General features: G+C 41.4%; 1 protein-coding gene across 8 annotated transcripts in view; it reads right to left on the reverse strand.

Moving 5' to 3' along the window:
• Window positions 1-12429, reverse strand: part of INO80D (INO80 complex subunit D) — a 92454-nt gene that overhangs the window by 52474 nt on the left and 27551 nt on the right. For all 8 annotated transcript variants that reach the window (XM_047444830.1, XM_011511375.3, NM_017759.5 and 5 more), the window contains 2 exons: window positions 10004-10749; window positions 310-418 (listed from right to left, as the gene is read on the reverse strand). In XM_047444830.1, coding sequence (XP_047300786.1) covers window positions 310-418; window positions 10004-10652 — 758 coding nt within the window. In that variant the 5' untranslated portion in view covers window positions 10653-10749. The remainder of the gene's footprint in view (window positions 1-309; window positions 419-10003; window positions 10750-12429) is intronic.

Below are 12429 nucleotides of genomic sequence, written 5' to 3' on the forward strand. Positions count from 1 at the left end.
ATCAGCATATATAGTGGGAAATATCAATCTGCTACAGTGGTCATTCAAGAAGGAAACTAGGGCCGGGCGTGGTAGCTCATGCCTGTAATCCTAGCACTTTGGGAGGCCTAGGCGGAGAGATCACTTGAGATCAGGAGTTCAAAACCAGCCTGGCCAACATGGTGAAACCCCATCTCTACTAAAAATACAAAAAAAATTAGTCAGGCTTGGTGGCAGTAAGCTGAGATCACACCACTGCACTCCAGCCTGGGTGACAGAGCGAGACTCCGTCTCAAAAAAAAAAGAATAAAAACAGAACAGAAGACTTACGCATGTCTTTGATATCTGAGGGTTTCCCGGATGGACCATGCAACCTGGTAGGGCGAGGCCTGCTCTGAGTCCTCTGGTTCCTCTCCGCTCTCTTCAGACCAGTCCAAACCTGGGTTAGACAGGAGATATTGCAAATTAGAAAAAGTTTACTTTTATTCAAAATTTAAACTAAAAAGCTACACAAAATAACATAACCCAACATACCTATTGCAAGTACTATCATGGTGTGAATAAATGTCTCCTGATGAATCTCATTTCTATTCTTACAAAGATAATCGGTTTGTTTTTGTTTTTGTTTGACAGAGTCTCACTCTGTCACCCAGGCTGGAGTGCAGTGGCACGATCTTGGCTCACTGCAACCTCTGCCTCCCGGGTTCAGCGATTCTCCTGTCTCGGCCTCCCGAGTAGCCAGGACTACACGCGCCAGCCACCACACCCAGCTAATTTTTGTATTTTTAGTAGAGACAGGGTTTCACCATATTGGCCAGGCTGCTCTTGAACGCCTGACCTCGTGATCCACCCACCTCGGCCTCCCAAAGTGTTGGGATTACAGGCGTGAGCCACCGCCTGGCCACACAATCGGGTTTTTAAAATGACATTACAACAAAAAGGCTAAGCTATATTCCACAGATGAACTTCTTTTGTCAGACACTTCACTAATGGGGTAGAAACAACACAAGTAAAGAGAGATTTCAGGTCACAAAAAGGCAGAATTTCTTTTCTTTTTTTTTGAGACAGGGTCTTGCTCTGTCACCTAGGCTGGAGCACAGTGTGGCATGATCTCGGCTCACTGCAACCTCTGCCTTCCAGGTTCAAGTGATTCTCATGCCTCAGCCTCCCAAGTAGCTGGTATTACAGGTGAGCACCACCACGCCCAGCTAATTTTTGTATTTTTAGTAGAGATGGGGTTTCGCCATGTTGGCCAGGCTGGTCTCAATCTCCTGACCTTAAGTGATCCACCTGCCTCGGCCTCCCAAAGTGCTGGGATTACAGGCGTGAGCCACCACATCTGGCCAGAATTTAAGTATCAAAACTTAATACACTAAAATGATGTCAGAAAAACATAAAATACAAACAAGAGGGTGAGAAAAGAAGCTCGATATATGTTAAGGCAAGAAAAAGGTCAATACCTGCTTCTGAATGGTTTTATGAAAACAACAAAAAAAAAAAATCAAAAAGTGCAGATAGAGTCACTCTACATTTCAACAACGAAGGGCCCTATGATAAAGTGTCAAAGGTAGAAACACTCCATCCCCCTCTCCCAAACCATTCCCTGGCTCTTACCTTCCATGGGAAGATGGAAGGGTAGGATGGTAATGTTCTACTACTAATGAGGTTTCGGATTTCTTTCAATTTTTTTTTTTTGAGACGGAGTCTCGCTCTGTCGCCCAGGCTGGAGTGCAGTGGCGTGATCTCTGCTCATTGCAAGCTCCGCCTCCTGGGTTCACGCCATTCTCCTGCCTCAGCCTCCCGAGTAGCTGGGACTACAGGCACCCGCCACCGCGCCTGGCTAATTTTTTTTTTTGTATTTTTAGTAGAGACGGGGTTTCACCGTGCTAGCCAGGATGGTCTCGATCTCCTGACCTTGTGATCCACCCGCCTTGGCCTCCCAAAGTGCTGGGATTACAGGCGTGAGCCACCGTGCCCAGCCTCTTTCAATTATTTTAAACAAAAAATGTCAGACTTTGTGCTCCATTATCTAAAACAAGGTTAGAAGGAAAAGTGGATACAGTATTTATTAATATTTTGTTAAAGGGTCTCGATCTGTTGCCCAGGTTGGAGTGTAGTGGTGCAATCTCAGCTCACTACAGCCTTGACCTCCCGGGCTCAAGTGATCCTCCCACCTCAGCCTCCAAAGTAGCTGGCACTACAGACAGCACCACCATGCCCAGCTAATCTTTGTACTTTTTGTAGAGACCGGGTTTTGCCATGTTGACCAGGCTGCTCTCGAACTCCTGAGCTCAAATGATCTACCTGCCTTAGCCTCCCAAAGTGCTGCAATTACATGCATGAGCCACTGTGCCCAGCCAAATGCTATAATTTTTAATGACTGAATAATTTTTAGCTCCTGCCATAAAAGTTTTACCCTTTTAAAAGTCTTGTATCTTGGCCAGGTGCACCGGCTCATGCTTGTAATCCCAGCAGTTTGGGACACTGAGCCAAGGGGATCACTTTAGGCAAGAAGTTAGAGACCAGCCTGGGTAACACACCAAGACCCCGACTCTACAACAAACTTAAAAATTAGCCAGGCTGAGTGGTGCATGCCTGCAGTCCCAACTATTCAGGAGACTGAGGCAGGAGGATCGACTGACCCTTGAGCCCAGGAGGTTGAGGCTGCAGTGAGCCATGATCATGTAACTGCATTTCAGCCTGGTGACAGAGCAAGGCCCTGTCTCTAAAAGTTAAGAAAAAAAGTTTTATATCTTGAAGAGGTCTTGATAAAGACTGATGTTGCACAGCCTAAAGTGTAACAGTATGTGGGACTATGTAAGTTTAATATATCCATACCTCTATGAAACTTACTAGACACCTTGATAACTAGTATTTTATTTATGTCTTCCTTCTTGAGAACCTCAAAAATCAAGAGTATCCTCATTAGACAGTTACATTAAAAAGGACTTCATGGATTGCTTCCATAGTTTAAATGAGTTTACATGTGCCAAATAGGGAAATTAAGAAAAGGTTAATTAAAATGCAAATTATGAATGCTTAAGATTAAATAACACATTGCCATTGGCATAAAGAAACTTCAAATCTAATTCTAAGATGACTATCTAAAATGTCAGGTCACCTTTAAAAATGAGTTACTTTCTCAACTGAAATAATTAATAATTTGTAGGGGGAAAAGGTAAAAAAGCAATTAAATGATCACAGCATCAACTTCAGTGTGTTGAAAGGTAAGGTCCTTCAAAGTGACATTTAAGGCACCACTGAAAAACAGAACATGAGTTATCTTTTATTTGTTTCAATAGAATAATTTCTCCTAAGACACCTCTGAGGTGTCTTGACTTTCTCTGAGGAAGTCAAGATCTAAGTCATAAAAACTAAGACGGAAGTGTTTTTCCTGCTGTGAAACTAACTGTCCAATAAAGCAAACCTTTGATCTTGGCTTCATTATCACTAGTTTTAATGTAACTAGCTGACATAACTAGCCCAGACAGGACTATAAAGGCTAATAATAAGACTGAGTTTTTATTTAAATACTCTTTGCTGACATGAATACAGACTACACTCTGTCATAAGATTACAGAGTATATGCATTACTATTTCTGGTTTCCCCAAAGTAACTTTTGCTTTGAAATCTTAGGCCTCTAATATGTTTGCATTTTAAAAAATTTAAAAGGGCGTCCGGGCATGGTGGCTCACGCCTGTAATCCCAGCACTTTGGGAGGCCAAGGCGGGTGGATCACCTGAGGTCAGGAGTTCAAGACCAGCCTGGCCAACGTGGTGAAACCCCATCTCTACTAAAAATACAAAAAATGAGCCAGGCGTGGTGGTATGCACCTGTAATCCTAGCTACTCAGGAGGCTGAGGCAAGAGAATCACTTGAAGCTGGGAGGCAGAGGTTGCAATGAGCTGAGATCACACCACGGCACTCCAGCCTGGGCAACACAGCGAGACTCTATCTCAAAAAAAGAAAAAAAAAATTTAAAAGGCTGAAAACTTTTTCTGTGTGTTTTCATTCTGTTTAAAAATGATTTAAAAATTGCTGGGCACAGTGGCTCATGCCTGTAATCCCAGCACTTTGGGAAGCCGAGGCGGGCAGATCACAAGATTAGGAGTTCAAGACCAGCCTGGCCAATATACTGAAACCCCGTCTCTACTAAAAATGCAAAAAATTAGCTGGATGTGGTAGCATGCGCCTGTAGTCCCAGCTACTCAGGAGGCTGAGGCAGGAGAATCGCTTGAACCCGGGAGGCGGAGGTTGCAGTGAGCCGAGACCTCGCCACTGCATTGCAGCCTGGGTGACAGAGCAGGACTCCGTCTCAAAAGAAAAAAAAAAAAAAAAAAAAAAAAAAAAGATTAAAAAATCAGCCCCTAAGATGACATAATATTTCATCATTTCAAAAGCTAAAAAATTATCAGCATCCAGAAATAAATGAAATTATAAATAAAAATTTAGTAGATGATGCCGGTAAGTGTTGGAATTAGAGGCAAACATTTTTTAAAAATTGTTATATTTCGCCGGGCGCGGTGGCTCACGCCTGTAATCCCAGCACTTTGGGAGGCCGAGGCGGGCGGATCACGAGGTCAGGAGATTGAGACCATCTTGGCTAACACGGTGAAACCCCCGTCTCTACTAAAAACACAAAAAATTAGCTGGGCGTGGTCGCGGGCGCCTGTAGTCCCAACTACTCGGCAGGCTGAAGCAGGAGAATGGCGTGAACCCGGGAGGCGGAGCTTGCAGTGAGCCGAGATCCCGCCACTGCACTACAGCCCGGGTGACAGAGCGAAACTCCGTCTCAACAACAACAACAAAAATTTCTTAGATCTCTGCCTCAAAACTAATGTCTAAATGAGTTCCAGCTAGATAAAATGTAAATAATGAAATGATAAAAGGACTAAAAGAAAATACGGGTGAATATGTTCATATATTCTTGGGATGAAGAGAATCCAAATAAGCAAGCAAACCAAAACCCAGACTCAAAAGAAAGAAATCTTAAAGAAGAGAATACATAAAAATTTTAACTTTTAAATTCCTACAATGGATATTTCTTTTCTTTTCTTTTCTTTTTTTTTTCAGAGACGGGGTCTCAGCTCTGTCGCAGTGGCATGATTATAGCTCACTGCCAGTCATAAGCTCTTGGACTTAAGGGATCCTTCCGCCTCAGCCTCCCAAGTAGCAGAGATTACAAGTTTGCAACTGTGCCTGGCTATAACAGATACCCGGAAGCAAAAAACAAAGGAGAGGAGGGAGAGACTTTCCAACAAATATAATATACATATAAAAAGCTCTTACCAATCAATAGAAAATAAATATATGGATGGAAGAAGTGAAAGGCAAAATAAACAAAATGTCCAAAAATCATATGAACGAATACTCAACTATATTATTAATCCAAAATAGCAGTTCTGAAAGTATGGTCCACAGATCCCCAGAAGTCCTTGAAATATTCTTGGAGTATATAGGTCAACACTATATTCTTTCTAAGAAGTTTTTTTTTTTAATTTAAATTTTAAAAAAGAGAATCTCACTATGTTTCCCAGGCTGGTCCCGAACTCCTGGGCTCACGTGATCCTCCTGTCTTGGCCTCCCAAAGTGGTAAGATTACTGGCATGAGCCACCTCGCCTGGCCTCAAAACTATTTTCAACAAAATAATATTAAAACATTATGTGCCTTTTTCACTGTGTTGACACACTGATGGTATAAAAGCAATGACAGGTAAAACTACAGGCTCCTTAATTACCATGAATCAAGGCAGTGGCATCAGACTTACTAGGAGTCATTGTATTCCTCATGCCATGCCTCGCAGTTGTAAAGGAGTTTTATTTGAGAATATTCTTGTTTGTTAAAGATTATTTATTTTTATTAAATCGATCCCTGAGCACATGTCTTTATACTATTCTGTGTGAGTAAATGTGAATCTGCTGCAAAGGAAGAAAGCATGACAGCTGTCCTGAGGAAGAGGACTTACACAACTGTTTTTATTGCAACCTGACCAAACTGCTTTTTCTCATTCATCATCATTTTTTTGTTTTTGAGATGGAGTCTCACTCTGTAGCCCAGGCTGGAGTCCAGTGGTGCGATCTCGGCTCACTGCAACCTCCGCTTCCCGGGTCCCAGTTCAAGCAATTCTCCTGCCTCAGCCTCCCAAGTTGCTGGGATTACAGGCACGCTCCACCACGCCCAGCTAAGTTTTTGTATTTTTAGTAGAGACGGGGTTTCACCATGTTGGCCAAGCTGGACTTGAACTCCTGATCTCGTGATCCACCCGCCTCAGCCTCCCAAAGTGTTGGGATTACAGGTGTGAGCCACCACACCCAGCCTTCATCATCATTTTTATTTGAAAGAGAATCTGACAGGCCAGGCACAGTGACTTGTGCCTGTAATCCCAGAACTTTGGGAGGCCAAGACAGGAGGATCAGCCTGGGCAACATAGTGAGACCCCATCTCTATCAAAAAATCTGAAAAAAAAATTAGCCAGTTGTGGTAGTGTGTGCCTATGGTCCCAGTGACTTGGGAAGCTGAGGTGGGAGGATCACTTGAGCCCAGCAGGTCAAGGCAGCAGTGAGCCATGATCATGCCACTGCACTCTAGCCTGGGCAACAGAGCAAGAACCTGTCTCAAAAAAAAAAAAAATTATATTTTAAATTTATCAGTTTTAGCTTCTAATACAGTATAAATAGATACAACCCATACATAAGAGCTTTATGGTTTCCTTATTAATTTTTAAGTGTAAAGGATCCTAAAACCAAATATTTGAGAAACACTAATCTAAGATATGTAAATTTAAGCAGATTTTCTATCTAATTTGCAAAGGCAATAATAACAATAATACTACTACCCAGGGCTGATAAAGATTTAGAGAAACTGTTATTTTCACACACTGCTTAAAGAAGATAAGCTGACAAAATAATTCTGAAGGAAAATTTGGCAACATATATCAAAACTTTTTTTTTTTTAAAAGCTAAAGCTTGGAATCGGCAATTCCACTTTTAGTCTGAATTAACAATCTATTTGAAGAAAAAAAGATGTGGCAATAATTGTTTTACTGCAAGGCTATATACATCTACGACAGTTTATAAGGACATAAGCTGGATACAACTTAAATGGAAGACAGAATTCAGCCATGACAAATTACACTGCATATGAAAAATTACCAACTTGAAAATACATTAGTATGAAAAATTTTAAACCAGGTTACAAAACAGCATGTATAGTAAGAGCCCAATTTTATATATTAGAAAGAATATATCAAGGTATTAACAAATGGGTATTAATATGGCTTGGAGTGTTTTAATTTATTATTTTTGTTTATAAATTTTTTAACTTTTGTATTTTAATCACGAAAAGTCACAGATGGTTTAACAACAGGTGAAACAATAAAAAGCTATAAGAAAAGCCACCACTCCCAACTCCTATAAAATATACCCTGTCCAATTCCATCCTCCCTAGGGTAGCTGATGTTAACAGTCTGGAAGTATATATCCTTTTATACTTTTACCTTTGCTCACATCAATCAGGCCAATAGCCATATACTTAATCAATAAATATATTGATATCCCCTGTTTATTTACTTTGTTTATTTTTACCAAAATGGGATAATAATTACCTCTTGATTTCTTTTTTCCACTTTTTAATATACCATGGACACATCCCGGTCAAAAGATACAGAATTTTTTTTTTTTTTGAGATGGAGTTTCGCTCTTGTTGCCCAAGCTGGAGTACAATGGCACAATCTCCGCTCACTGCAACCTCCGCCTCCTGGGTTCAAGCAATTCTCCTGCCTCAGCCTCCCAAGTAGCTGGGATTACAGGCGCACACCACCATGCCTAGCTAATTTTCGTATTTTTAGTAGAGACAGGGTTTTGCCATATTGGCCAGGCTGGTCTCGAACTCCTGACCTCAGGTGATTCACCGGCCTCAGCCTCTCAAAGTGCTGGGATTACAGGCATGAGCCACCACACCTGGCCTCATTCATTCTTTTTAATAGCTATATAATATTTCTTTTCTTTTCTTTTTTTTTTTTTTATACAATAGAGACAAGGTCTTACTGTGTCGCCCAGATTGGTCTTGAACTCCTGAGCTCAAGTGATCCTCCCACCTCGGCCTCCCAAAGTGCTAGGATTATAGGTATGAGCCACTGCACCCAGCCTGCTACATAATATTTCATAAAACTTATATGAACAATAATTTAGTCAAGGTTTCCTATCAGTAATTGTTTCTTTGCAGGTTTTTAATGCTGCAAACAATGTTTCAGTGAACATCCTTGCACATATATCCTTACATTTTGATTTTTTTAATCCACAGGATAGTGTCCCAAAAGTGAGTCTGCTGGCTACAAATATATTTTGTTTGTTTGTCTGAGACAGGGTCTCGCTCTGTCACCCAGGCTGGAGTGCAGTGGCACAATCTCGGCTCACTGCAGCCTCCACCTCCCAGGTTCACGCAATTCTCCCACCTCAGCCTCTCAAATAGCTGGGACTTCAGGTATGCACCACCACACCCGGCTATTTTTTGCATTTTTAGTAGGGACAGGGTTTCACCATGTTGGCCAGGCTAGTCTCCAATTCCTGACCTCAGGTGATCTGCCCACCTCAGCCTCCCAAAGTGCTGGGATTACAGGCGTGAGCTACCACACCCGGCCTATTTTTGTTTTTTTAGAGACAGGATCTCACTATGTTGCCTAAGCTGGTCTCAAACCTCTGGCTTCAAGTGATCCTTCTGCATCAGCCTCTCAAAGTAATGAGATTACAGGCATAAGCCACTAAGCCCAGCCTATACATATATTTTAAATTAGTAGATATTGCTAAATTACTCACCAGCAATGTATGAGATACCATATCCTGACCCTGACCAACAATGGATATCATTTTTCACAATCTGGTAATTCATTGTTGCTTTAATTTGTATTTCCTGCCTGCTGAGAGGATTGAGGTATTCATTTGTTTATTGACTATTCATATCTCTTCACGTTCTATCTTTGCTCATATTTCTATTGCTGTCATATTATGCAAATAATTTTTCCTGAAGTGAAAATCATAGCTCATATTGCATTCGAGAATAAATTTCAACTGAATTAAAGGTTTAAATGATCAAAACCAATCAAACTATTAATAGAAAACATAGAATATCTGTATAAACTTGGAATCGAGGAAGTTTTCTTAAGCAAAACAGGAAATTCAGAAGCAACAAAAGAAAAATAGACATGTGACTACATTAAATTACAAGTTTTCCCTGTATTTTCTCACTCTTAAATCATTAACAGGTATTGCCTTGAGAATTTTTTAAACAGGAAAAAATGTTTTAAAACTGTCAGCAGATATCAACAATGCTATGATCATTCCTAGAATAAGACACACCAAGAACTTCACTAGATGCACAGGTGTTAAACTCATAAAAGCATACAACCAAACACAACTGCCTTTTAATGCTGCTATCACTACAAATAAAAGCTGCGTGTGGAATTCTAAATTCCCAACTCCTATTTCTGTATCCTATTCAGCAAGTGTTACACCCTCCAGTGTTGGCCCTCTGTATCCATGGGATCCACATCTGTGGATTCAGCCAATTGCTGATCAGAAATATTTGAGAAAAAAGATTCCATTTGTACTGAACATATACAGACTTTTTTTCTTGTCATTATTCCCTAAACAATACATTATAACAACTGTTTTCATAGCATTTACATTATATCAGGTATTATACGTAATCTAGAGATGATTTAAAGAATATGGGAGAATGTACATAGGTTATGTGCAAATACTATGCTGTTTTATATCAGGATCTTGAGTATCCTCAAATTTTAGTGCCTGAGGGAAGACCTGGAACCAATCCACCACACATGTAGAGGGACGACTGTGTTTATTTTAAGGTGGTCTACCTAAATACAGAATCTTTCACTGCACCACTCTGCCTCATTGTGATTCCACCCCCATCACATATGGGGTAATTATGAAAGGGAAGCTCCACACAACCGAACACATTTTGTCATATTATGTGTCTATGATACGATAAAATAGATAACTCACCTAAATGGGGAAACAGATCAGTGTCCAACTGATGTTTCTGGGTGCACAGTTTCACCAGTCTCTGCAGTCGGCTTATACATGAGAAGTGTGGAGAGAAGGCTGTGGCTTTCATGAGGATCCGGTCAGTCCTGGGTGGGTCCACAGTGGGAGCCCTACTGGATGGCAGGAGGGGCAGAGGCCTCTTGTGAGACAACTGCCGTGCTTGTGCTATAGTGTGTGTGGTGGGTGCCACTCCCTGCATTGGTAGGCTGGTGTTCTGAGGTTGAGGTGACTTGCAGACTGAACCCTGCGGTGGCGCTGGAGGTTTTAAAGAAGTAGATAAAGGTGACAGGTGGGAGTGCTGCTGCGGAGGCTGCTGCTGTGAAGGTGCAGGAGGGGGACTAAAGTGCTCTTGTCGAACTTTTAAAATCTCTGTCTCTCTCTGGCGCTGCCGATTCTGGGCCAACTTGCTCTGCAACTTCTTTCTCACAGTTGCCCCTTTCTTTAGGTCATCATCTTCCTCATTGAAAGCAAATGGGTCTTCCAATTCGGTTTCCAGGTAGTGGAGAGGGACCCTTGCCCCAGGTGGAGAGAGGGACATTCCATCCAGTCCGTTGGGCATCTTCAAGGCCAACGTGGGCACTGTCAGGCTAAAGGCCATGGTATCCATCTGGTGCCTGACCTTCACCTCATCTATAGGATCATTCTTTTTCTTCCTCTCTTTTTTCGGGATAAAGCCAAGTACCTGCAAGTGGCTGTTGCAGTACCTTTAAAATACACACATACATGGGAAAACAGTCATGATACATATTTTTTAAAAGTAGAACATAAAACTACATGAGAATCCTAATGTTAAAAATTGCGTCACTATAGTGACTCTTGGCAGCCAGCAACTTAACATGCAAACCTCTACTACTTTCAAGCAGTCCTCAAAGTCAGTGTAATTTTGATGAGGCAAATATGTGAACTGTACATGCACAGGGGTGGCCAGACAGAAGCAAGTCATTCAGTTACTGAGTGGCCCTGGATAACTGCTCAGCTACTGCTTCTCACATGGCTTTGTTATTCTCTATTCATAGCATACAAAGTAACTCATCAAGAGTCTAAAAGATCACTTAAAATTCTCTTATGAGAAAAAATATATATATTTTCTAATGCCATTAAAGTATTCGGAGATTCACAAAGCTCTTATGACATAAAACCCTCAAGAATGTCAAGTGTCTACTGTGCTTTAGACACATATACAGAGAGAGACAGAGAAAGAGAGAGAGAATGAAATAAGAAAGTAAAAGATGGTTCGTGGGGTTATAGGTGAAATGCCTTTTTCAATAGCCAGATGTAAGTACATGAATTATCTCCTGTAGTACCTACCTGCAGTAGGCGCTAAAATAATTCCCTTAATGCAGATGAGGAAACTAAGCTTTACAGAAATTGATGAACTTGCCTGAGACTCTTTCCAGCTGGAAAGAGTCAGAGCTAAGACCAACTAAAATCAAAGCTCATGAAGACTCTCATTAGTCTTCAACAATAAGCAAGTATACTGCTTGGGTGATGGTTGCACCAGGATCTCACAAATCACCACTAAAGAACTTGCTCATGTAGCCAAATACCACCTGTACCTCAATAACTTTAAAATAAAATAATAAAAACTAATAATTTTAAAAATGCTTTATAGAATTCACCAGTGATGCCATCTGACATGGACTTTTCCTGTGGAAAGTTTAAAAAAAAAAAAAAAGAGCAAAATTAAATTCAAAACTGCTATTTTGAATTCTCTGTCTGAAAGATCACATATCTCTGTTTTTCCAGAACTGGTCCTTGGTGCCTTATGTATTTCATTTGTTGATGTCATGTTTTCCTGGATGGTCTTGAAGCTTGTGAATTTTCGTCTGTGTGGGCATTGAAAAGTTAGGTATTTATTGTTGTCTTCACACTCTTCATGCTATTTTAAAAACCTATAAAGGCCGGGCACAATGGCTCATGCCTGTAATCCCAGCACTTTGGGAGGCTGAGGCGGCGGACCACAAGGTCAGGAGATCGAGACTATCCTGGCTAATCCGGTGAAACCCCGTCTCTATTAAAAATACAAAAAATTAGCCGGGCGTGGTGGCAGGAGCCTGTAGTCCCAGCTACTCGGGAGGCTGAGGCAGGAGAATGGCGCGAACCCCGGAGGCAGAGCTTGCAGTGAGCCGAGATGGTGCCACTGCACTCCAGCCCAGGTGAGAGTGCCAGACTCTGTCTCAAAAAAAAAAAAAAAAAAAAAAAACCTATAAAAGGGCCGGGCGCAGTGGCTCACGCCTGTAATCCCAGCACTTTGGGAGGCCAAGACAGGTGGATCACCTGAGGCCAGGAGTTCGAGACCAGCTTGGCCAACATGGTGAAACCCCATCTCTACTAAAAATACAAAAATCAGCCAGATATGATGGTAGATGCCTGTAATCCCAGCT

Source organism: Homo sapiens, chromosome 2, assembly GCF_000001405.40.
Source record: "Homo sapiens chromosome 2, GRCh38.p14 Primary Assembly".
NCBI classification, from domain to species: Eukaryota; Metazoa; Chordata; class Mammalia; order Primates; family Hominidae; genus Homo; species Homo sapiens.